The sequence below is a fragment of the Homo sapiens genome, chromosome 10, assembly GCF_000001405.40.
Source record: "Homo sapiens chromosome 10, GRCh38.p14 Primary Assembly".
Lineage (NCBI taxonomy): Eukaryota > Metazoa > Chordata > Mammalia > Primates > Hominidae > Homo > Homo sapiens.
Window position 1 is genome coordinate 11184906 of NC_000010.11, and position 26540 is coordinate 11211445.

The following is a 26540-nucleotide window of genomic DNA, read 5'->3' on the forward strand; positions in this document are numbered from 1 at the left end:
ACTATGGAGGTGAATAGAAATAGTGAGAGCAGACATTATTATCATGTTCTTGATATTAGAGGAAGACTTTTTCTTTACACTGAAAAGCATGATGTAATGTATAGGTTTTTCACAAATGCCCTTTATCAAGGACATTGTCTTGTCTTCCTGTTTTGCTGAGAATTATCATCAGGAATGGATATTAGATTTTTTTTAATGTTTTTTTCTGAGTCTGTTGAGATGATCATATCGGGTTTTTTGTCTGTTTGTAAATATGACAAATCACATTGTTTTTGTGTGTTTTTTTTAAGACAGGATCTTGCTCTGTTGCCCATGCTACAGTGAACTGACGCAGTCACAGCTCACTGCAGCCTCGAACTCCTGGGCTCAAGTGATCCTCTTGTCTTAGCCTCCCAAAGTGCTGGAATTACAGGTGCACGTCACCACACCCAGCTATATTGACTGATTTGGATATTGAGCCAACCTTGAATTGCTGGGATAAGTCTTACTTGGTCATGATGATCCCCCCGCTGCACCCACTGCCCCCAAGATGGAGTTTCACTCTTGTCACCCAGGCTAGAGTTCAATGGCACGATCTCGGCTCCCCGCAACCTCCGCCTCCTGGATTCAAGTGATTCTCCTGCCTCAGCCTCTAGAGTAGCTGGGATTACAGCCACGCGCCAACATGCTTGGCTAATTTTGTATTTTTAGTAGAGAGGGGGTTTCTCCATGTTGGTCAAGCTGGTCTCGAACTCCTGACCTCAGGTGATGCGCCTGCCTCAGCCTCCCAAAGTACTGGGATTACAAGCATGAGCCACCATGCCTGGCTGGTCATAATGATTTTATTGGATTCCATTTGCTCAAATTTTGTTTAGAATTTTTACATCTGTGTTCGGGAAGAATATTTTTCTGTAGTTTGTTTATAACTTCTTTGGCTGGTTTTGGTATAATGGCAATCCTGATCTCATAGAATGAATTGGGAAGTGTTCTCTCCTCTTCAGTTTCCTGGAAAATTGTGTATAAAGTTGTATTATTTCTTTAGTTGTTTGGTAGAATTCATCACATAAGTCACCCAGACTTCAAGTTAACTATGTAAGAAGGTTTTTAACTACAAATTGAATTTCTTTAGTACCTATAGGAATAATTAGGTTCTATATTTTTCTTTGAGTGCATTTTTCCTTTCAGATAATATGTCCATTTACCCTACGTGGTCAAGTTTATTGTCATAAAACTGTGTATAATCCCTTAATATCCTTCTAATGTCTTCAAAATCTACACATAAAGACAGTTCTACTTGTCATGTCTCCTGATACTCCTGGTACTGTTAATTTGTGCCTGCATTCTTTTTTCCCTTTGTCTTAAAGTTCCCAGGTTTATTTGTCTACTAAAGAACTAGCCTTTGGTTTTGTTGCTTTTTTTTTTTTTTTTTCTATTTCTTTGGCTTTCACTTTAATTGTTATTGCTTCCATTCTTTTGCTTATTTGGGGTCTAACTTGCTTTTATTTTTCTGACTTTTAAGATGAAAGCTGAGGTTACTGATTTGAAATCTTTTTTTCTCCAAATGAAAGTATATAATGGTATATAATTCCTCCTAAGTACCATTTTACCTACATCCACAAATTCTGATATGCTGTAGTTTCATTTTCATTCAGTTGAAAATACTTCCTAATTTCTCTTTTGATTTCTTCTTTGACCTGTGGGTTATTCAGAATGTGTCATTTAGTTTCTAAATACAGATTGCGCATCCCTAATCCAAAAATCCAAACTTTGAAATGCTCTAAAACCTGAAATTTTTTTCAGTACTGACATGATGTTCAAAGGAAATGTTCATTGGAGCATTTTGGATCAGGAAAGGGATGCTCAACCAGTAAGTATAATGCAAATATTCAAAAATCTGAAAGCAAAAATCCAATACATTTACGGGCCCAGGCATTTTGGATAAAGGATCTCAACCTGTATTTGAGAGGGGTATGGGAGTTTTTTCTGTTACTGATCTCTAATTAAATGTCCTTTTGGTCAAGAAATATACCTTGTATGGCTTAAGAACTCTTAAATTCATTGAGACTTGTTTGATGCCCCATAATATGACTTATCTTGGTAAACAGTCCATGTGCATCTCAAAAGAACAGGTATCCTGTTGTTCTTGGACTGAGTGTTCTACAAAAGTGAGTTTGATTGAGTTGTGTTCTGCAAATCTTCAGTATCTTTACTGATTTTCTGGATATTAATACTTGTTCTATCAGTTATTGAGAAAGGCTATTGAAATCTCGTGTATTTGTGTATTTCTCCTTTGAGTTCTATTTTTGCCTTATGTATTTTGAAGTTCTGTTTTTTTGATGAATAGATATTTAGAATTTTTGTGTTCTCTTTGTGAATTGACTCCTTGGTGGTTTTGAAATGACCTTTATTTCTGGGATTATCCTTTGATTTGAAATTATTATGATATTAGTATAGCCACTTCAGCTTTCTTTGACTCCTGTTAAATAATATATATTTTTACATTCTCTCTCTTCACGTGTATGTATCTGTCTATTTAAAGTGCATTTATTGTACACAGCAGGTAGTCGGATCATAATTTTTTTGAATCCACTCAGACAAGTTCTACCTTTTAATTGGAGTGTTTAGATAATTAACATATAATGTAATTGTTGATAAAGTTTGGTTTAGGTCTCTAATCTCACTAAGGTCGCCCCCCCCCCAACCTGTTCTTCCCTTTTGCCTCTTCTTATTACTTCAAATTACTTTTTCATTTTACCTTCTTTGTTGGCTTACTAGTTATAGCTCTTTTTTGTTGTTTTAGAGTATTTGTTACACGTCTTTATCATTCAAGTGATAGTATGCAACTTCATGTATAGCATGAGAATCTACTTCCATTTCTCCCTTCGCAGACTTTATGCTGTTGCTGTTTTTACATTTTGCTTTTACATGTTAAAATACATCCACAATACCTTGTTACAATTTTGTTTAATTGGCCAAATTTCTTTTATAGATATTTCCATCATAAGAAAACTATCTCGCCTGTTTATGCTCGTAGTTAATACTTCCGTGCTCCGTTCCTTTGTGTAGATCCATATTTCCTTCTGGCATCATTTTCCTTCTGCCTGAAGGACTTCTTTTAATATTTCTTGGGCAGCCAATCATCTGGTGGTAAATCCTTTCACCTTTTGTGTGTCTTTCACCTTTTGTGTTTTGCCCCTTTTTTGAAGTATGTATCTAGATCTAGATATATATATTTTTTGAGACTGAGTTTCGCTCTTGTTGCCCAGGTTGGAGTGCAGTGGTGCAATCTCAGCTCACCGCAACCTCCGCCTCCTGGGTTCAAGTGATTCTCCTGCCTCAGCCTCCCAAGTAGCTGGGATTACAGGCATGTGCCACCACACCTGGCTAATTTTGTATTTTTAGTAGAGATGGGGTTTCTCCATGTTAGTCAGGGTGGTATCGAACTCCCAACCTCAGGTGATCTGCCCACCTCGGCCTCCCAAAGTGGCGGGATTACAGGCGTGAGTCACCACGCCCAGACTGAAGTATATTTTTACTGGCTATAGATTTCTAGGTGGACAGGATTTTCCTTTTCTTTCAGTATGTTAAAGACATTGCTTCACTGTCTTCTCACTTGTATTGTTTCAGATGTCATCCTTCTCCTTCTGTTTTTTTTTCCTCAGTCTGCTTTTAACATTTTCTCTTTATGTGACTGGGTTTGAGTAATTTGATTATGATGTGCCTTGGTTTGGTTTTCTTTGTATTTCTTGTACTTGGAGTTCATTGAGATTTTTGGACATGTGAGCTTACAGTTTTCATCAAATTTGGAAAACTTTCATCCCTTTCTTTTGTCAGATATTTTTAATGTCTGCTTTCTCTCAACTCTCCTTGTAGACTCAGATTACTTGTATATTTGGCCATTTGAAGTTGCCTTACAGCTCACTAATGTGTTTTTTTCTTCCTTTTTTAAAGTCTCTGTTTCTCTATTCCATTTTGAAACACAGTTCACTCATCTTTTCTTCAGTGTTTAATCTGCCGTTAATCCCATCCAGTGTTTTCTTCATCTCAGACATTGTAGTTTTTAATCTCTAGAAGTCCGTTTCGGATCTTTCTTAGATCTTCCAGGTCTCTGCTTGTCTTGTGGAACATACCAAATACAGCGATAAATAACTTTTTTGAGTCCTTGTCTGCTAATTCTAGCATCTGTATGATTATTTTCTACTTCTAAAGTGAGGCCTCTCCTAGTCCTCTACCCAAGACCGTGAATTGTGAGTATTTTCGGTCTGGCTGGTAAGGACAGGCACTATTCCAAGCCTTTCATCTTTTTGGAGGGCTCTTTGTCTGGTAGTTTCTTCACTCATGTGCATTGATCATCACTGGATACTCAAGAGGGACCTCTGCAGATCTCTTTGACTCCTGTTAAATAATATATATTTTTACATTCTCTCTCTTCACATATATGTATCTTTCTATTTAAAGTGCATTTATTGTACACAGCAGGTAGTTGGATCTTAATTTTTTTTGAATCCACTCCGACAAGCTCTACCTTTTAATTGGAGTGTTTAGATAATTAACATATAATGTAATCGTTGATAAAATTTGGTTTAGGTCTCTAATCTCACTGAGGGTTTTTTTCCCCTCACCTGTTCTTCCCTTTTGCCTCTTCTTACTACTCTCTCTCTGCAGCTCATTCCTCTTTGCTACTCTTTACGGTGAATTCTAATGGCCCTCGCACTCTCAGCTCAGGGAGTATACTGGGTCCTGCCTGGTGTCCAGCTCCCTGTGCTGTGGCCTGGAAACTCTTTCAGGCCATGAGCTGTTTTCAGGCAAGAGGACTGTCCATCTAGGCCAGAGGCAGAAGTCTGCAACTCTTAATTATATTTCCTGTCCCTGGTTCTTTTCTCACAGTGCCTTCTATTTATCCAGAGGAATTCCAGCACCAGCGATGGTATGCAAACCTTTAGTGGCACACGTTGACTCAGATACAGCCCAGATTCCTTGGCCATGCTTTCCAGGTCTTCCATAAACCATTCTGTTCTTTCTCCTCTCATTCCCTTCATTACCTTCATTTCCATTCCTACAGATTTGTTAACTGGAATTTCTGTACTTCCATCTCTTTTTGTTGACAGCTTCTCTTTGTTCAGGTTCTCCATTTCCTGCACATTTTTAACACATTTGCAAGTTGTAAATTATCTTCTTTCTGCAAACTCCTGTAAAGATTTATGTGCACCTCTTTGATTCAAGCCTTCACTTTCTACCTTGTGTTAACTTATTTATGCACATGTCTTATCTCCTCCAACCACTTATAAATCCCTTGAGGACAGGATTCACGTCTCATTTACATGCTCTTAGAAATTTACAGTGCGTACACAGTAGGCAATCCATACATGCCCATTCAGTACACATTTACTGGCAGTCTTGGGAATGAACATCAAATTAGGTATTGATGAAATTTTGGCCCGATGATAAAGAATATCTTAGGCTAAAAGTAATGGGAAAATTAAATTGTTTGCAGGATGTTTCAGCACTACTCCCTACTTAGCTAGATTTATCTCCTCTTTCTTCTCTGTGTGTCAGTTTGCAAACAAGAACTGCCCTTTTCTCTTTGAAAAAAAATGAACACTAAAGGCAGAGATTTTCATTTGGCTGTCTTTGTATTCCCACAACCAAGCATGGTACGTGGTTCAAGAAATGGCTGTTTAATCACAGCAGTAACTCCCAGTAGGAAAGATTCTCAAAGGAATTGTTCTTTTAAAAAAAAAAAAATTCACAAAGTAGGCTGTACCCTCAAAGTGCTAAGGAGAGCTTCTGTCCTCGAAAATCTCCCTGAAATACTGAAAGCATACAAAAAAGGAGAAAGCTCAAAACTAAATTTTGACTCTCAGTGGCTGGGTTTTGTATCTCTTTTCTTTAAAAAAAAAAAAAAAAAAAAAAAAAAAAGCCATTGAAATGATTCCACTTCTGAGTTACCTGGAGCAGTCAAATTCAGAAAGACAGAAAATAGGTTGGTGGTTGGCCAGGGGCTGGAGCAGGAGGGAACAGGGAGTAAGAGTGTAAGGGGGATGGAGGTTTAGTGTGGGGAGATGTGAGAGTTCTGGAGATGGACAGTGGTTACAGTTGCACAGCAGCATCAATGTATTTAATGCTGCTGACCTTCATGGACATCCTGGTCATGTGTACAGAAAACTTAGAAGTAAATTAGGGTTTAAATCCAGTTCCCTGAGGTTGGGCAAGCTGCTGGTCCTCTCTGAATCTGTTTTCTTGTCTGTAAATGGGGCCTGATGTATTGAAAGGCACCTGGCTCAGTGCCTGTAACAATGGACACTCATGTTCATCTAGTTCTGTCCCTTTTCAGCTTTACAGAGAGGCTTCCTACTTAGATGGTTCTCTCTAGCTATGGGGCTTGGAGAGTAAATGGGCAGGAGTGGGAGTGTGGGAAGGGGCCATGCTCTGTTGATCTCAGCCAGTTGAAGCTGATGCCTCTGTCCTGGTGTTTATAAGGGGCTCCATCACACATGTACCCGTCCTCTATTGTGTGGGAGGTACCCCAGGCAATGAAACGGAGAGGTGTCTCCTGGTGTTGCAGTGGGGAGGAGACCTCTGGACCAGGACGTGCTGTGGGGCGTCAGCTACCAACCTTGTGGTCTCGGGAAAGTGACCTATCAAGGGGGCATACAACAGGGACACCACCTTGAAATCTGAAGTCACTGAGTAGCAGGGGAGGTTGGAGCCTGGGGCACCCCATGGCCTGCCCTTGGGTTTCATTTAACTGTGGCCTCCCCAGGATGTTACACGTCCTGGCCTCCTCCCTGCAGAAGATGAGGCTTATTCCCAGTCGGCAGACTGGACTTCTTCATAAGTGAAAAATAGTTACATAATGGTTATCTCATTGGTGTTTAGATTTCTGAACAAAACGATGATCCAAAATCTGAGTGTGGAGAAACGGATCCCCAGTGAAGGAGGAGGGAGGGGCCGTGTGCATGCTCATGCTGTTTATCCCAAGCCTGTTTTCCACCCTCCCTGCCCTCCCATGCAGAGGCCCCGCCCTGTGTCCACTCTACTTCTTAGGAACCTGGCAACCCCAGGGAATTTTCCTGACAAGTCAGTGTCATTTTATGGGTTATTGCTGTTTTCCCAGAATAGCCAATTAGTATTGAGGAAGTGTCACCTGCTCTTCTCCATGTTCAGCCCCTTCCTGAGCACACTCATCAGGTTTAAGGAGCCAGCTGTCCCACCTGCTCAGCTGTGCACCCCTACAGGCTGGGATCTTGTGAGATTCATACCTACTGAGGAGGGTGCTTGCGTTCAGTCATGGTTGAGATGGGGCTCTTCCAGCACAGCCCCAAAATACTTCAAGAGGCGCAGAGGAAACTCGGCCTCCCGAGTGAGCATCCCCTTGATCCCAGCAAGGCTGGAGGGAGGCAGTGCTGTGGGTAGTTAGTTGGAGGAACCAAGGGCATGGCCTCTTTTATTCTAGTGACATTCAAGGGCACCAGCTGTTTTGACTCCCAGGAAGCTGTTTTTCCCATGCTGAGTAGTCTCATGGCACTGTGTGCCACCACAGTGCTGCCCAGCCCTGCCACCCTGGACTGACCGATAGAGGGGAGACCACAGCGTCAGCTGCTAACATGGAAGGACTTGATTGTGCAAGAGCTGGGTTTCCTGGGAAGTCAGGCACCCTGCTCCTTCACCTCCCCATAACAGCTGTCCCCATGGCAGTCTCATGACAATAACAAGCCAGCCTTGCTATTTTGGAAAGCAGTGAGGGACGTGGAGATCCGATCTGGACAGTATTCATCTCCTGTGTGACCTGGGTGAGTTGCCCACCCTCACAGAGTTCTTTTCACCGAGTTCACATGGGACTCAAATGGGATGCCATGGTTTTAACCCCTGGCGTGCGTTAGAATCACCTAGAGGAATTGAAACAGAGAAATACCAGTGTCCCAACCCCACCCTCAGGAATTTGGATTTAATTCCCCTGCTGGGTCCCAGGTGGCACCTGAAGGTATTGAGGTGATTCTAACGTGCAGCCAAGGTTGAGAAGGACCAAGCTGGACGTTGCGAGAGTGCTCTGGTAAATTTCGTTTGGTGTTACTCTCATTACATTCTCCACTGACTTTGGCAGTGTCTGTGAATTTTCACATTTTTCATGTAAAGATCTTCATGACTTTTTTTCTTAACATTGTTTCCAACAACTACTGCAGGTCATTTAGCAAGAATTAGTCATGGTAGTTCACAGCCCTGAACCCAAACACCCCCAGATCTTCAGCCTCGCGTGGGGCTTCCAGTGACTTCGTGGAATGTCATCATAGTCCTTCCTTTGGAGAGCTGGATTTTCTCAGGCACCATGAGGATCTGGGCCAAGCTTCTCCAGGGCTGTCATTGCTTCCTGGTTGGAAAACCCCTAGGTGCCAAATGCAAGAGGAGAAAGAGTGAAATTAACCAGCTCACCCATCAATAGCAGTCTCAAAATCATAGAACTGGGAGCCTGTAAGAAATCACACATTTCTGTGAATGTGTAGAGAATAACTCCAAAGTTTCACCGTGACAAGTGCAGAAATTACATTTAAATGAGTACAGAAGAAAATTTCGCCACAAACTGTGTTAGCCAAAGAAGGTTCTGTACAATGAGACGTAACTGAATTATGGGTAAGTTCTGTGTTCCTGCTGATGCCCTCCCCACTCCGTCTGGGGCTGGGGCTGTCTTGAGCCAGCATTCCTGTTCATTCCACCTGAGGACTCCAGTGTGTGGGAAGGAGGAAGAGACTTAAACCCACCTAGGGGCCGGGTGTACAGCAGAAGGATAGTACCCATTGAGGGGCCAATATAGGTTTCGTAGTGAGAACATAATAATGCAGGTTTAACCAAAAGAATGTGATCTTTGAAGACTGTTTGATCTTATGCATGGTTTATGGTATTTTGTAAATGGAATAGCTTTTCCAAGAAATTCAAAAAAGTGCCCATATGACGCTTCATGTTTATAGATTTATGAAGTATTGGTTCTCAGTATAACCTGGGAAAGAGGCTGGGGAGGTCCGGTCATCTTCATTTTCTGATGAGACAACTGAGATTTAGTTTAAATAGTGGTCACATTGCTAGGAATTTGGTAGTTCAAGGACAAGACTTACAGTGTTGAAACTCTCATTTTGGTGCGTTTCATGTTTTAGAATTTTTCACAGTATTTTTACTTTTTAAAAATTTTTTATTTTATATATATTTTTGTGACAGAGTCTCACTCTGTCGCCAGGCTGGAGTGTAGTGGCATGATCTCAGCTCACTGCAACCTCCACCTCCCAGGTTCAAGCGATTCTCCTGCCTCAGCCTCCTGAGTAGCTGGGACTACAGGCACACGCCACCACACCCAGCTAATTTTTGTATTTTTAGTAGAGACGGGGTTTCACCATCTTGGCCAGGATGATCTCGATCTCTTGACCTCGTGATCCACCTGCCTCGGCTTCCCAAAGTGCTGGGATTACAGGTGTGAGCCACCACACCCAGCCTATTTTTACTTTTTAAATTGAGTTTTCATTTTGAAATGAAAAATGAGAAAATTCAAAATTTTTAAATGAAAACATTGGTCTTTGCCCAGTAACGAACATGTGTACACCTTTGCATTCATACAGTCCCCTAGAACCAGTAAGTCCTTTCCCTGCAAAGCTGTCCTGAACATTCAGGGTCCACACATTGACCACTGAAGGGTAGGAGGAAAGGCAAAGCGAGCTGCACAAAGGGAAGATGGCCCGTAGCCTTGAAATGCACTCTTGCTAGCCCTCCCCATTTTGGTTATTATCAGCAAAGATCAGTGACATGTTAATATATTCGGCTATTTTACTGTGAATATAATGGTAAATTTTAATAGAAATTGAGTTAGATAGCAGTTTCTGAATCTGAAAGAAAGTGACATTGCTTGCGAATGCTCACAGTAGCACTTAACATTGTGAAGTTCAACTCAATTTTTATTTGCTGTTTCACAGAAAGCAATAATCCCTCATATTTTATAGTACCATCTGGGTTACAAAAATCCCGATGCGTCTTTGTTGGACAAGCCAGGATCTCAGGAAGGAGTGGAGGGGAGCTTCATCTCAGTGGCTTCTGCCCTGAATTTGAATTTTTAACAGGCAGCTTTTAAGCATCCTGTGGCACTCATCCCATCTCAGTGTAGCAGAGACAGTAATGTCTTTCCCTCTATGGTTGAGAAGGAGCTTCTGAATGCCCTTTTGGAAGCTGTAGAAATCTATGATACTCATCGTCAGCATTCGACCATGAACTTAAACTCCTATCACACCTCTAGGTGTGATAATATTTCTCCTTCTGTTACAACAGAGTAATGTCACACTTGGCACTTTTACTGTCCTCTTGCGAGACTATCCTCCAAGTGCTGTCTGAGAGTGTTAACTGCTATTTGGCTCATTTTTCTGCACCAAGGAGAACAGAAACACAGCAGGCACCAAGAGGAGGTTTAGTGTGCAGTGGGTTGTTCTGAAAGGCAGTGAGTAAAATGAGGTATTCCCTGACTTCTGCTTTTGCTACATGAAGTCATGAGGTCCTTGAAGCCAGACTTAGGTACCGTTTCTTTCATCCCTTGCTAGTTCCTAATCGTAGACACAAACCTTCCACATCCATCCAGGCGGATGGCAGTGCTTCTTGTAGAAAGCAATGTCACTAAGGCAGTGTCACTAAGGGAAACAGGACAAGGCAACAGTTGTGTTCAGAGTTTTGACTGGCGTCTGATTGGAATTAGAAGGAAGATTATTTTGCCATAACCTAGGTACCGTGACCCAAGCTCTTTTGGCAGACCTTGACGTCACAAACCGTACGCTTGCTGGAGAAGGGAAAAGGAGAGTTGCAGCCACTAAGAGAGTCAAGGCTGTGGCCTGCCTGGTGGTGTTTTATAGGAACTGGCTCAGGGAGGCTGCATGTCCTTTGTTTTCTGAGGCCTTGTTCCACGTGGCCTCCCACTTGAGGCCAGGAATATTGCAGCAATGCCGAAGAGTGGGTGGACAAATAGCCTTATTATTAACCTAAGTTGGAAACATGGCTTTTTGAGTGTCTTCATTCACAGATGCAGTCACAAAATATTAATACTCTTTTTTTGAACATGGCAAAACAAAGTATTCATTTAAACCTCCTTTGTCCACGTCCATGGTAAAAGAGCACCTCAGGCAGGGGAGAAAAAAAAAAAAACTGGTCCCTTGAGAATTACTTTATCCTTTGCATTTGCATATAGTTTGAATTCATAATTAGGCTATTTTTATTGGCTAGCAGCTGTATTATCATATAAATCCCTGAATATGTAATTTGGAGTCATTTAGACCAGTCGTCCCACAGTAACCCTGGGAAGCACGTGAGCAGCGTCAGCGTCTTTCTCGAGGAAGAAAATGAAGATGGGGAGTAACTTGCTGCAGGCAGCTTAGCTCCTGCTGTGGTGGATTGGGTTTTTACGCTAAAGAACATAGATACCTGTTCAGTAATAACTTACATTGGCATAGAATTCATCTATTAACAGGATGTTTTGAGGCCAGACGTGGTGACTCACACCTGTAATCCCAGCACTTTGGGAGACCAAGGCTGGAGGATCACTTAAGCCCAGGAGTTGGCAAGACCAGCCTGGGCAATACAGCGAGACCCCCAGCTCTGCAAAAAAAATAACAAAATTAGCCAGGCATGATTGTTCATGCCGGTGGTCCCAGCTACTCAGGAGGCTGAGGAGGGAGGACAGCATGGGCCCAGGAGTTTGTGGTTATACTGCACTCCAGCCTGGCAACAGAGCAAGACCCTCTCTCTTTAAAAAAAACAAAACAAAACAAAACAGAACCGGGCGCAGTGGCTCACACCTGTAATCCCAGCACTTTGGGAGGCCAAGGCAGGCAGATCACGAGGTCAGGAGTTCAAGACCAGCCAGACCAACATGGTGAAACCCCGTCTCTACAAAAAAATACAAAAATTAGCCAGGCGTGGTGGCGCATGCGCTTGTAATCCCAGCCGCTCATGGGGCTGAGGCAGGAGAATGACTTGAACCTGGGAGGCGGAGGTTGCAGTGAGCCGAGATCGCACCACTGCACTCCAGCCTGGGCGACAGAGCGAGACTCTGTCTCAAAAGAAAAAGAAAGAAAGAGAGAAAGAAAGAAAGGAAGGAAGGAGAAAGAAAGAAAGAAAGAAAGAAAAGAAAGAAAGAAAGAAAGAAAGAAAGAAAGAAAAGAAAGAAAGGAAAGAAAGAAAGAAGAAAGAAAGAAGGGTTCCCATTGTTCTCGCATTCATTGTCTGCGTTGGTTGAGTCTGTAGGCAGGGTAGGGATGAGCATCTTCATTTTCTTCATTTTACACGGAAAAGAAATCTCTGGTTGAACGTGGTCAGTGACTTGCTTCAGCTGGGAGACTTGGGACTGAAGCTGCCCTCTGTGACTCTGCACTCTGTCCGTGATACCAGGGAACTGGTGAATCCAGGAGCCTCCCATTGTGATGCTCACTCCTTCTCCTGTCCATTCATATGGGTAAAAAAGGTTTTGTGGCTTAAGTAGCATCCAGTTTCATCTCAAGTTTCAGTTCCCATAAAATAAACAGATACTAGGGTAGCAAATGGTCCCTTATTAAATGTCACAGGGGAAAAAGAGAACAAAAATCATTTTCTGTACTCTCCAGAATACAGTTGAGTGTCCCGATTGCCTCATACCTCCAGTGAGAACAGCAGCAGCATTTATGGGCTATCTCAGTGAGCCACTTTTCTGTTAAACAATCCAACACGGAAGTAACACAGGCTGTCCTTTGGGCTCCCCCGCCTGATCCGCTGAACAGAATCTCAGTTCTGTTTGACTTACACGGTCGGTGGCAGAGGGAGGAGGGAGAAACTCTTCCATCTTTATTCCCAAATGGGGATCTCATTTTGGGTGCATGTATGCAAAATCTGTTCTGTCTCCTCATGCTTAGTGTGCTAGTATATATTTACTGCTGACTGCATTTCTTTATGAGGACTCTTCTGTAGCGTTTTGATACTGACAATTTTATGAAGGCTATTTCTTGATATTTGTTTATTACTCCTTTAAAAATGTATTTTTGTGGCAGCTTCAAGGCAGTTGCAAGATAGTGTATTTTTCAATAGAGAAGTTGGATTAAAACTTACAGCAACTGTCACCTGGTAACCAGACCCCATATAACTGTGTCAACATTAACCAGTGATTTATTGCTTTAAATTGGAATCAGCTGATTTGTGGTTCCACGGCTTTTAACGCTGCAGGATTAATCTGGAACCCACTGGTACACATGAAATAGTTGTATTATCTGCTGTTCTAAGACTGATGAAATGTTTAAAAGGATAGCTGTGTAATCAGTCCATTATCTCCTGGTGTTCCAGCTTATTCTGTTCCGTGTGGCAGTGTACAATTTCAAAAATAATTATTCTGCTGTCCTTAATATGGGAGCCGAATGCAGTGACTGATAAAAACTGCATTCAGCAAGCCCTTTCCCAAATTGGGTAGTTCTATTTTGTTATCTTCTGAAGGGAAAACATGGGTTGTGATGGTCAGACCTCCTAGGAGTCTGGAAGCTTTAGAGCAAGCCCTGGGAGGCAGAACACTTAATCTGTTGCCAACATCTTTTTCTGTTTAATATTTTGAATTTTTTGTTTGTAGGTAAACTTGTTTAGACTACACTTTCATGTACTCATCTGAACATAGGTAGACCTCTTGAAAATAAGGATATTGATGCTTACAGTTTTCTTTTGTTCTGAAAGCAGTCAGAACATAGCCATAGTTACAGAATGTGGGTTTTAAAAAGCAATCTAGACCAGTGTCCCTTTCTTAGCATCCTACTTTGACAGCCAGCTATTGAAGGAGACCCAGAAGGGCATGGTCAAGTGGTTTGCTTCAGACTTGCATTCTGTACAAAGCTCATCCAAAGGAAAAGCGTTGTAGATTTTTTTGCATAGACTAGGTAGTCTCTAGGGATAATTATTCTTGTTTACAAAGATGTTCGTGGCAATCTATAGACTGTTAGTGATGTTTTGAGGAAAACCCAAGACTCAACATCTTGTATATAAAGGATTGCCCATGAAATCACAGTCTGTCTTCAAACTGTAAGTAGAACATGAGCTTTCCAGTTAATAGGGAAAACATAAAACAATGGATTTTATTGCAGGGCAGTCCTGGCCTTGTATAGACCAAGAGTAGTTGACTTTCCAGGTAACCATGGATACCTTAGGAGGAGGGGTTGGTAGGACCTGAGAGGAGGATGGCATACAATTGTATGACTGTTCTCTAGTGGCGAGAGATTGTCAAGGAAGAAATGAACAGTTTTATTAGAACCCAAGACCATGATCTCTGGGACCAACATCTTTAATTGGAGACTTGTTAGAAGCCATTCAGTTAAGAAGACAGTATGAGATGCATCACCTTGTTTCTGCGATGTTATCTTCTACTCCCCGATTCGGTTGCTGGTTATCTCTTAGGCCTGCTTTTCCCCCCTCTTGAACATGGAGCTAATAACTTTCAAACAAATCTTGAGCCCTCTAGGCAGACACTCTGTTGTTCCTTGAGCCCGGGCCATCCTTGCTATTGCTACCTGACCACAAGTGCTGGAAGTAGATGTCACACCTGCGAGCAGAGAAGGCCCGCAGGTTGGGTATGGTCTGTGTAGAGCCTGAATCAGAAGGGTCTGGGCTGGAAAGGAAGATGGTCAGATGTTGCCCTCTGCCACCACCCCTTCCCCCAAGTGTGCCTTCTCTTGAAAAATGTGGTAAATTCCATGAAATTCATTTCTAGTCACAGTTAAGAGCAGGCCCTCCAGACTCCACTCAGCTTGTCTGTTATGAGGAAAAAGCCATCAATATTTTAAAAGCTGCTGAGAGGCAAGAAGTTAGCCTCGATGGCTGGAAATTAAGAATTTTTTTTATTCTATGCAAAATCTGTCCATTGCTTCTCTAAAGCAGCAGCAGGGCTGAGGGAAAGCTTAGCCTAGAACAGGGATGTGATGAAGACTAATAAGATAAAACCAGTCAGAGTGTTTAAGCTAGAGGTAACCTGGAAGTGTCCTAATTGGATGGCCTGAATTTCTCACCCGGGAGTTTTCCAGAGCAGTTAACACCCAGATATGCCCCGGCATTGATGTCACAAAACTGGGTCGTGGCAGGGTGCTCCAGAGAGTAGATTTCAGGGCAGATCTTCCAGGGACAGATTTTGTTGACACGCCTTCTGGATTTCTAGTTGTGGTTGAGAATGTATGATGTGAAAATTCACCCAAACTTTCCAGAGTTCAACTTAATGAGAAGAGAAGAGGTTTAGGGGAGTGTATTAACTCTTTGGGCCCACTAGAGGAGTTTTACAAATAGTTTTCAAGAACCAGTTCGCCCACATGATTTTCAGTCTGCCTACGAATTTGTTAGGGGTTGCATTCATATTTATAGGTAGGTATCTCACATTCAGCCTCACCTTTGCCTCCATTCTGTCTATTAATTTTTCTTTGTTCCCGTACCAAAATGCTAAAAGCCTAAGAGCATGTTCCTACAGCAAAGATATGAATTCCCAACCAAGGGAGATGAAGAAGTGAATTGGTTAAATGTACTGAATACCAGTTCTCTGTCTTTTCATAGCACATCCCTTTGATATTTCTTATACTCTGCAGAATGTGGGCATGTGCTTATTTTCATGAATACCTGGAAAGCATTTTAAATGATGGCAGTGCTACCTGGGTACCAAGAGGACTTAAATGCCACTTGCTGGCTCATGACTTACCCAGGAACATGGTGCAGGGTCTCCCTCTTTTCCTTGCCCAGTGGGCACAGATCTCTGCAAGACATTTCCAGGTCAGACTTCTGTGCCCCTCTGCATAGGCCTGCCTGTCATTTGATGCTGCTGGTAGGTTGGAGAAGCAGTCCAAGGGGATGGAGATAAGCCTCAGCTACTGGGTCAGCGTTTTGAAACCTGCTAGCAAAAGGAAGGGAGAAAAGATTGAGAAAAAGAAGACGGAAATTAACTTCTGTGTCATTGTGGGCTGAGTCGCACCGTACAAGTTGTTTTCCCTCTGAGCAAATGAAATTTGAGAATTGTTCATCAGTGAGGATGAAATGTCAGATATTCTTGTCGGGAAGTATATTCCTCTCTCAAACGGGTCAGTTTTACCAAGTGGTTTGCTCAAAAAGGTGTTCTCATCAAGAAAGTGTAAATGTGGGTTTCAGTGCTTCAATGGCTTTGTCTACCTGACTTCTCTACAGCAGTTCACCAACTTCTAATTTTCTGAAACGAAATTCTAAAACATACTCACTTTGATCCTGCTAGTACATTTTTCTTGTAGCTGTGTTGGGTAGTCCCCTGAAGTGTGAGGCAGAGATAGCACTGACATGGGCAGAATTGTTACTGTTTCACCTGTATTTTCCTTGTGTGTGTTTTTTAATCTGTAGGTATTAGGATAGGTTTAACTGTCAGTATTTTCGCAGACCCAAAAATATATTAGGACTTTTAAACACAGAACCCTTATGGATATTGGTGGGTGGCTTTCCTCCATGTGGTGATGCAGGGATCCAGGCTTCTCCATCTTGTCACTCTACCATCTCTTTGGTTTTTGTGTGTGTGTGTGTTTTGTTACTTTTTTTGTCACCTGTGTCCATTCAAAAGGAGAGGAAAGAAAGTATGGAGGACTCATATCTGCTCTGTTAAAAGCTCTGGCTCTTAAGCAGCACAGGTCACTTCCACTTGTATTTCTTTAGGAAGCCTTTAGTCACGTGGCAAGGGGCAAATGTGGTTTCACCATGAGCTCTGTTCCAGTGTTGGCCCTGAGGAAGGAGAGGATGGACTTCAGCAGACACTGGTAGTCCCTGCAACAGCTGTCCTTTGCTGTGTTGTTTCCCAGGCTTCCTGGAGGATAAGAATCCCAGGGAACACTGCCCTATAGATGACCAGGCCTTTCGCCTGGAAAGCCTGAGCTGAGGGGCATGGCTTGGCTCCAAGAATCCATGTTTTTGCCAATGTTCCAGGCAATTATCATCTTCAGGAACATTTGGGAAATGCTATTGTAAGAGGTGATTAGATTGTAGAAAGGTATTTGGTACCTTCGTTGCAGTTTTCTGCTGAGAATCCTGTGTTGTAAGGAATGGTGGTGGACTCGGTGGTGAAACGTAACTCCTGGCACCCATGCTTAACTCTCTTCAGTCTTAAAATTTGGCCTCACTGCATAGACAAGATCATGACTGTACCATGTAACACTAAGACATCTGTTCCTACCTGAATTTTTCTTGGAGTAGCAGATTGTTTCATTGAGTTGACCAAGTTTACGACTCATTTTGACAGATGGTGATTCTATGGTTTATATCAACTACTTGGAATTTATCATCTAATGACAGCTGTTTAACACATAGGTCAGCGTATAAGATTGACTAGTAATGAAATCTTCGGGGCATTTTTTTCACCTCCTGTCATAATGTTGAATCTTTGGGAAACCTACCACCTTGGAAATGAAAAGCTTATAAATATATTGGGTGAACAGCAGTTGAATTATTTATGTGACAAAAAATTCTTTGTCATCCCAAAAAGAAAGGATGGAAAAGTTGTCCCCGATGGTTTCGGAAGCTGCAGTGAGATGGACACAGTATGTGGAGTATCTGTGGGGTGAGCTTTTCGTAGCAAATTTGGATCCTAGACTGCCCTCTCTGAGCTACCCAGTAGTCAGTCAAATGGGTCAAGTCCTTTTCCACAGTTTGGAATGTGCTCAGGGAATCAAACCGACTTTAATATTAGCCTGTGACAGTTATATTCAGGGAGCTAAGACTTGCTCTCACTAACATCGAAAGCGTTCCAGCACATGTTGGAAAGGTGTTTGGGGTAGCCACTGTTTAGACTTGCCTTAGCTATTGATCTTCTTGTTATCGAATATAATTTAGAACTAACAGTGAGACCCTTAGTGGTGGGAGAATATTATTATCATTTGTTATCTGCACAATTAGGAAGCAGGAGAGTACAGCAGAGGCTTTATCCTATAAACCATCTCGTTGCCTAGAGCATTTTAGCTCCTTGCAGAGTGGTCTACCACATGCCTGCCTTCCCACCCCCATCCTCATCTCTCTCTCTCTCTCTCTCTCTCTCTCTCTCTCTCTCTCTCTCTCTCTCTGTGTGTGTGTGTGTGTGTGTAATCCAAACAGGCATTGGCCCTACAGTCCAAAGGGCTAAAAAGACTCAGAAATCCATCCTCATCCAGTCATCCAGGGAAGAAATAGGAGCCTGCAGGGTGTTTCTTTTCTTTTTTCTGAAGGTTTAATAGAATCAGTGTCATTGGCAATGATTGAGAAAAATGAAAGTTTTTAGATCAAATACTACTCTAGCGTGCATGCAGCATGGGAACAATTGATGGGCGGCGTGCTCTTCCTCAGACAAAACCCAGTGGCTGCTAATCAGTGTGTGGTGTGGAGAGTTTTTTGTTATCCTGAAATCAAGGAAATATTTTACTTTTCCCTCTGAGGTGTTCCAGAGAAAGATTCTTGATCAAAGAAGATAAATCCTCTTCCTACCTGCTAATGAGTGAGCAGCTGGATTTCAAGCACATCACGTACAAGGACCATGTGTTACATTTTTTTAGTATCCATAATCAGGTACACTTATTTAATTTTCTAAAAATGGAAAGCCAAGCATTCTCTTTGGTTAGAGACATGGAGCGGTGAAGAAGTAAGGCAGTGTTTGGCAAGATGAGTCCACCTAACTGGAATCAGGCCAGGCTTTATCGGGAACCAGAGGGGCGACTCTGTCAAGACACCCCCTCTCCATGCCTCCACTTCTTTAACTGGAAGCAAGAACTTAAACCAGATGGTTAAGATCTTTTTTCTGTCTTCCGTCTGGCATTTAAAGTTGATCGCTGTCAAATCTAGAATGGACCCTTTTCAGAATTACAATGTGACTGAAGTTTGTCACTTTCTTCCCAGCCATCCCCATTTTGGGGGTCATCCTTCTTCTTTTAGGACATCCCCTCTTGCCCCATGACCCGCGTTCTCACCATGGAAACTCTTATCAAACCTAGTGGCCATAAGATTCATTGATACTACAGCGTAAATGGTTGGGAAACAGATTGCGGTGTTGTGTCTTCTGAGGCATTTTTATTTTAATATGAATCTGAGCCTCCAACTGAAAGGATGAAGCTCAGAGGCTGAGTGGAGAGACTGGGGGAGAGGACAGAAGAGGAGGGGCGCAGAGGGTTTGCCCACATCAGCCCCGTTTTCTTCTTTTGTCCCAGAATCATCGTTAACATTATCCCCTCCGCTTTCAAAAGGGTCCTCACTTGGAGAATGAATTATTTGATCACCCTGGATATCAAGAAACCCTTCATACTGCCCCTAAAATTGTACAGTGGAAGGAAGAAAAGAAGCTAACCTCTTTTCGGTATTTTCTTTGTGCCAGATTCTGGGCTTGGCACTGTGTATACATTATTTTACTAAATGGATCAAACAGAATCTATTTCACCTAGCCATTAAACCGCATCTCTCTTAGGCTAGAAGTAACTATACCAGAGTCATTTCACAGGAAATGGGTTGAGAGTGTTGCATGGACCATTTTTACCCCTAGGAACCTGAATCAGAAAGGCTCATGGAACTCCAAGTTGAAAAGAAAACCATATTGCTATAGGGGAAGGGGGTGTGAAAATGCTCCGGTGAGAGTCAACCCCCTGAGTATACAGTAGGAACCTCCGGTGCCTGGCACCACGCCATGCCTTGTCGGGGGCCGGTGGGGGGACCCAGGAAGCGTAAGAGGTAGCAGCCACCCGCAGAGAGCTGCATTCCTTAGGAGAACAGGAGCACGGCAGCGGAACCACAGTCAGACGGCAGTGATCTCCTGCGCTTGATCCCCGTGTGACAGGAACTCTCAAAATGAAATCCAGCTGCTGGAAACCCCTTGGCCAAGAGGTGCCTGACACACATGGTGGTCTGTGCCCCAGGCTTCCGCCGGACATCTCCTCCTCCCCGTCCTCATCGCAGCGTTTAGGACATCACGTCTTCTTGTGAAGCCCAGTGTTAACTGCTTTTGTTTTTTCTTCCTCTATTGTTGCTGAGATAAAGGAAAGTGACCAATCTGGTTAAACTCGTATAGTAGTGAAACCTGGGTGTGCTCCTTAGCCGTAGGTTTTATTTCAAATAACAAACTGTTTTAGGGATTTTTTGCCTCTTGGGGGCATATCATAGAGCATACAGTTGGGGAAAATTTTGTTGTACCCTGAATAAGAAAGTCATGAAAATGATTACATTAAAATTGATTGACTATTTAGAGGTCACGTAAATGGATGTTCAGAGTATTCAAAGGCCATGCGAATGGGTGAACTCTGCTAGTTCCAAGTAATTACTTCAGAAAGCAAGACAACACAATCAATTCTAAGCCCTATTAAAGGGCTCGTGGTCATCACTTAGAAAAGCGGCTTCCCTACCAGGGAAGCACAGCGGCAGCGCAGCCTGCGGCAGGCCTGTCGCGGCTGCATTTCCGTATTGCATTTGTTATAAAAGTGGAGTAAAGCTACCTATCCCTTACCTGCCTCAAAGGGAGCCTGCATAGTGTCTGTTAGGGCTCAGCGCTCTATGGAGAAACATGTTAAATTTAAAGTGGACAATAGCTGCTAACATTTACTAAGCACTCTTATTTACATGCCAGGAACTGTGTTAAACATTTTCATACGTTGTTTGGCTTAATGTGATACATCTATAATATAGCTGTCACTAACCCCATGTTATTAAGAACCAGAGGCTTAGGGAGGTGAGGTCATCAGCTTGTGATGCTAATCAGGAATGACTGTACCAGCCTCACTGCAAGGATTATGAATGGGCATGAGAAGACTATCCAGCATCACTTTGAAAACTGTCATGGTATCTGCCATGAGAACTCAGGGACCACCTTGGCCCCAAAAGTGAATTTCTTAAATGATTTCCGCTGTTCCAGGCAGTATGGAGAAATATCTCTGTCTCTGATCTCCGTACACATGAAATGCGACTCAGCTATTGCCGGAGTGGGGTGAAGACAGTTATAACGGCCATAAATATTAGTTCTCCAGCATCATATCCAACAAGAAAAAACAATCTACAATAAGTACAAATGTTTACTTCAGCCTAGCCTTGGATTTCTATAGCCAAAGGGTTTGCCTCTCCATTTCACTTTGACTGTAAAGACCAGAGTGAGGAAGTAGATTATGACGTCCTTATTCCATTTCCAGAAAAAATAACCTTTGTTCTGCTTTGGATTGCAAATAACCCTTTTGAGAGTTCAGAGGCACCTAGAACCCTTGAGTAATAAGTTAGAATACCACTGATAGGTGCTCAGGAACAGAGCTGAGCTGTGTTTTATTCAGGCTAACAATAAGGGGCCTGCATTCTTAGTCCAGGGAATTCAAGCTGATGCATCGTCAAAGCAAGGCAGTGAAGTGGAGACTTGAGAGATCGGCCTGGCCTGGAAGCATCTAATAGCCCAGCTTGCTGTGAATTGAGAATCGTAGGAAAATAGATGTGATTCTAACCTACCTCTCATTGCCACTAGCCTCCTAATTATAATGCTATCCTATCCTCTACAGAATCTATACTATGAAATAACCTTATATTAGAAACTTTCTTCTAATGAGGTCCCTCAGTACTTTAGAAACTAAATCCTTCTTAATTGGATTCAAGACAGAACTACCTTACACCTACCGCGTTTAACCCCGTGATGCCTCCTTGGTGTATGGGAAGTGATCTTGGTTTGGTTAGCCTGAAGGCCTGCCTGCTGCTGAGCCACTGGTCTCCACCTCACCATGAGACCCCAGGGAGACCAGCTGGCCAGGGAGTTGAGCCAATTAACGTCCACTTTAGGGAAGCCAGACCCTCTAGTTGGCTTGTTACATTCAACCTGAAGTTTTTCATTCTTCCTTACCTTCAGAGAAAAATATGGTTCTGCTCACTACTTTGGAATTAGGTTTTGAAAAATACAAAGCGTGATAAATTCTATGGCTAGCTTATTATCTTTCATTCCTATAGTCAAGTGACGTTTTCTCTAACAAAGAAGACTCCTTGCTTTCTTCACGTCACCCCCTGGGGGCCTGGACAAATGCACACGTCACCCTACCTTTCTGATGCTCAGAGCAGGGTGGGAGAGTTCGTGAAACAGCTGAACACGATGATTGTCCCATCGGGGGAAAAAAGGATGATGCTGAAATTCTTCCAATGCTTTCATAGCTATTAGACAATTGAAATGGTTTAACATAAGTGTCTTATTTCAAAGAACCAGAGAAGGGGAAAAGCACATTCCAGCAATTTTGCCCTTGTTACCTTTTCTATCTGTGTCGTGCTTTGGTGGAATTTACATAATCATGGGTGAGGAAGTGTTACAGTATACACATAGCTGTGCATATTAGGCTGCACTTGCTTTCCCAAGAGGCTTGAAAATGCAGTCGATTTAATCTAGGTCAAAAGGAAAGAAAGAAACTCCATTTTCCTCGCAGAAAACAGGGAGCTTGCTAGTCTTCACGGGGTCATGGAAATAACAGAAGATGGTTCCTCCAGGGAAAGTCCCCAGGGCAACAGGAGGCTGCCAGGGGCCTGGATCTTGTGGCCAGTTGACAGAAAGTTGGTCCTAGCGTGTCAAATGGAGAGTTGGAGGGAAGGTATGGGGTTGCCAGGGACCCCAGTGAGATCATTGTTCCCTCCCGGGCTGAAAAGGTGGCTCAGATTTGCTGTCTGCGAGGAATCTTGCAGGGAAAGTGAGGAAGGATGTTGGTGGAGCATCGCACGACTGCCTCAGGCGGCCAGAGGGCGGTGCGGGTCCCACGCTGCCAGTGTAAGTTTCCCAGGGGAATTCCTGGGATGGCACTTGGTAATCCAAACCGTGGAGTCCACATAACTCACATACGGAAGGCCCGATGGCAGCATCGCCCGTCAGCTTCCTAGGCAGTGGCCAGATGGTGATACCGCTGACATCAGGGTGCCAATTATATCAAACTCTATAAAACTAAGCTAATTGGATACGGTTTCCTTAAAAGTAGATTTCTACAGGATGAGGCGTTCGTATTTGGGTAGCTGCTACTCTAGCTATGGAAGTCCCATTTTTAGGTGGGGAAAAAAGGGTTGTGTTAGGTGACTGTTGGAGAGACATTTCAGATGAGAGGTTTAGGTTATAAAGAGACATTTTAGGTGACATGAACAGAGTGTGAAGCAGATCTTTCAGAGTGAGGTGGACCCTGTTAGAGGTGGTTCAGGGACATTCTCCCTATGAGAGGCATAGACTTTGAGGGGTGCTCATCGACTCGTGGTTGCTGGGATGGTTTTGGCTTTGCTCTTGGCTCCTGGTGTGACTTGGGGGCAGCCTGCTAACCTGTAGACTGGTGTTTTCCCATCTGTAAAATGGGAGGGTGTGGGGAGTTAGGCTGGTAGAACTAGTGTAGGGACCAAGAGAAAACCTCCCCTTGGCCCTATGAAGGTTCACTAAGAGTCCCTGACAAGAGGCACATCCACAGGAGAAAAGGCACGCAGGTTGATGAGATCACGGTTTCTGTGACACAGGCGCCTTCGGGATGCAGACCCAAAGATACAGGGGAAATGGTATACTTAGGTCCAACAAAGTGTGCCTAGGCTCATTTGCATACTTAGGTTCCACAAAGTATGGTCAGCCATGTAGTAATGTGATTGGACAAAAAGGACATGACGTAACGCTAACAGACTGAGCAGGGACACTCGGCAAGGCCTGCCTGTCCGCATTCTCCCTGGCCTCTCTGAGCAGGATTCTTCCTTCTGGGTGTGGGAAGGACCTTCCCTGGAATGGGGGTCTTATGACCTACAGTCAAACAAGGTAGGTCAGAGAATTTGTTTCTGGCCAGTTTTGTACAGAATGACGGAAGGAAAGTTAGAGCAGTATTTTTAAGTTTTATGGCTGGCTTTGGGGAAACGGGGTTCTGGTTTCTGTGACCTGCTATGAGGAAGAGAGGGATTCCAGTTTCTGTGGCTGGGCTTAGGGGAGGCTGGGACTGAGAGACAGGAGGGCAGGAGGGGGTCAGAGAGAAACTTTTTCTTGTGAGGCTTTTATGCTGGAGTACTGCTTCCCGACTCCCAACGTTTGCTACTTGTAAAATTTTGTGATTCCACAGGAAAGGCAAAGGCATGGAAGTCATGAGAAGGCAACGCTACCTTAACTTCTTCTCATTTTATTTTTTATAGTGTTCAGTTTAAAGGCGTAAAAGGCTGGAGGAGCAGTACAACACAGATATGTCTGATCTTCTTGGAGGTTCTCCCTTTAGCTAACTTTTGCTGTGATGGGTACTTTTTTCATGCCCCTGGTTCCTGTATCTCTCAGTTGATGTCATTATAGCCATCTGCGTTCAGCATCAAACACAGGGGAGCCACGATAATAAAATTACAGGCAGGAATACGTGAGAGAGCTGAGAGGCAAGGGGACTGGGCTTTAGACGGAGCTTGTGAAATCGGTGGCCTCATTTGTTCACTTGTATCTAGCACTCCTAGAAAGCAAGCACTGCGTGGAGGTCCAGCCACAGGAATTCACACCAACGGGCCCAGAGTCGGTCATAGTGCCCTGATGTGACCATTTCCTAGCAGTGCCAGTTCTTCTTGGTGGTTGGATTTTGGGCTAAAAAAAGGGCTACATGGGTGACCCTCCAGGATCTCATATCATGTCCTGAGGCCTCCTTGTACTTTCTAAGAATGTCATTTTGTCATTGCCTTTTGCCTCAAGATGCTAGGGGTATAAATCACCTTCTACCACGGAAAAAGGACTACTCTTTTTTTTTTTTTTTTAAGGTTAATGCTAAGTTTTCTTGAAAATTTTAATTCAGGGGATTTTTGATGGGTTTTTTTTTAACCTTTAACTGCCTTGTAGAAAGTGAAAGTAGGGGGTCCTGGCAGGGCCAAAGCCAGTGACTGAGAGTTGAAACCGTAGTGCATGGCAGATTCGCTTGAGCACAAAATGCCCCACTTAGATCCACAGCCTTTGGACTCTGGAAAAAAAAAAGGTATTAAATTCTTCTCCAAGTGGCTAAGATTGAGGGAGAAAATAGATGGCAAGGGGAATCAAGTAAGAGGAGTGTGTCCTCTTTTGACTTAAACTGGCTTGCATGCTACTGACTTGACAAGAAGCCAAGATCCCAGTTGCAGTTCGACTTGTGTGAAGCAGGCACCTGCTTTGCTTGCAAATGCACATACAAAAGAGAGCTTCATTCACAGGAAAAAAAAATAGCGGGTTCACTAATTTAGCCTTCCAGGGCCTTCGTCCCTTGATCTGTCAGCCCCTTAGAATTCAAAGGCAGCGTGTAAAGGAATTTCCTATTTACAACATGATGACTTTTTTGATGTCCTGAATTCGAATATAACTCGAGTTGAAGTTGTCTGCTAGGGCTATTGCTTTGTTGTTTAATAAAAAAAAGAAAAAATATATAGAGAGCTCAGTCATCAGATGATCAGTCTGGGGCTGCTTTCAAGTGTTTATGTGCTTAGATTTAGAAAACAAAGTAGGTTTTCATATATGTAAGATGTCGAATGGCCTTGAAGACGTGGACAGGCCCGTCTTGACCCTGGGGCAGAGTCCACTTAGGGAGGGAAACAGCTGTTCTCATGCCCAACCCCATAAGCTCCGAAACGGAAATACTTTTTATTTGACCAGCTTTGCCGCAGAATTGCAGGAAACCATTTTTCAGTTTGTCTCATTAGCCCTCAAGTTGTATAGTTATTTTGTATTCCAGAAAATGCTCCACAGTTCCCCATAAGAAGATATTACTGAAGGGTGGTATCAGAAAAAGAATTAGCAGTTAGAACTAGAACTTTCCAGAAAGGTCCCTCCTGCCATGGTAGAGAACACCTTACACAGGGGAGTTTCTCCTTGCTTCAGGCGGGTGGCTGCAGAAGAGTCATGAGGAATGCCTCCCTGAAACCAGCCTTGCTACGCGGGGTCAGCTCCTGCCTTTGGCGTTGTGACTCGTTGGCATGTGATCTGAAGTTCCTGCCCTGCAGCTGACGAGCCAGTGTTTCAATAATTAAAAACAACTCAACTCACTGTCCTCCTGCCTTGAATTTGATCATTGCGCTTTGCATGTATGTATCACAATACCACATGTACCCCATAAATATGTACAAAGATTATGTGTCAATAAAAAACAAAAATTAAAATCCCAATTTTTAAAAAGAAAACATGAAAGTAATTTTTAAAACTGCGTCAGCCATGCTCAGTGGCTCATGCCTGTAATCGTAGCACTTTGGGAGGCCAAGGCAGGAGGACCACTTGAGACGAGGAGTTTGAGAAGCCTGAGCTATGTAGCAAGACCCAGTCTCTACTAAATAATTTAAAAATTAGCCTGGTGTAGTGGCACATGCCTGCAGTCCTGGATACTCAGCAGCCTACAGTGGAGAAGATGACTTTAGCTCAGGAGTTCGAAGTTAAAGTGAACTATGATTGCACCACTGCACTCTAACCTGGGGAACAGAGTGAGATCCTGTCTCTTAAAACAAAAATTGCTTTGTCCATATATTAGAGTCAAGGAATTTAAAGAAAACCGCCTTTTTAAAACAGTGTCTCAGAGCATCAAACCTTGGTTTAGAAACCTTGGAGGAAGTTTCTTTAATGAGTATGGTGTCAGTTTTCTTAAGGGCAGAATGAGTTTAAAATC

At 43.1% G+C, this 26540-nt stretch overlaps 1 protein-coding gene and 1 long non-coding RNA gene across 70 annotated transcripts in view, besides 5 other annotated features; both read left to right on the forward strand.

The window, feature by feature from the left end:
* Positions 1-26540, forward strand: part of CELF2 (CUGBP Elav-like family member 2) — an 874126-nt gene that overhangs the window by 722356 nt on the left and 125230 nt on the right.
* LOC124902375 (uncharacterized) lies at positions 1411-26064 on the forward strand. The gene is made up of 2 exons (XR_007062051.1): positions 1411-23719; positions 25766-26064. It is a non-coding gene; the product is annotated as an uncharacterized LOC124902375 (long non-coding RNA).
* Positions 12258-12557: an enhancer, noted in NCBI's record as "active region_2995". NCBI's record gives its function as "activates an Ori minimal core promoter by ATAC-STARR-seq in GM12878 lymphoblastoid cells {active_cell/tissue: GM12878}" and the evidence as "EXISTENCE:reporter gene assay evidence [ECO:0000049][PMID:35858748]".
* Positions 23088-23167: an enhancer, noted in NCBI's record as "active region_2996". NCBI's record gives its function as "activates an Ori minimal core promoter by ATAC-STARR-seq in GM12878 lymphoblastoid cells {active_cell/tissue: GM12878}" and the evidence as "EXISTENCE:reporter gene assay evidence [ECO:0000049][PMID:35858748]".
* Positions 23228-23297: an enhancer, noted in NCBI's record as "active region_2997". NCBI's record gives its function as "activates an Ori minimal core promoter by ATAC-STARR-seq in GM12878 lymphoblastoid cells {active_cell/tissue: GM12878}" and the evidence as "EXISTENCE:reporter gene assay evidence [ECO:0000049][PMID:35858748]".
* Positions 24655-24814: an enhancer, noted in NCBI's record as "active region_2998". NCBI's record gives its function as "activates an Ori minimal core promoter by ATAC-STARR-seq in GM12878 lymphoblastoid cells {active_cell/tissue: GM12878}" and the evidence as "EXISTENCE:reporter gene assay evidence [ECO:0000049][PMID:35858748]".
* Positions 24865-25104: an enhancer, noted in NCBI's record as "active region_2999". NCBI's record gives its function as "activates an Ori minimal core promoter by ATAC-STARR-seq in GM12878 lymphoblastoid cells {active_cell/tissue: GM12878}" and the evidence as "EXISTENCE:reporter gene assay evidence [ECO:0000049][PMID:35858748]".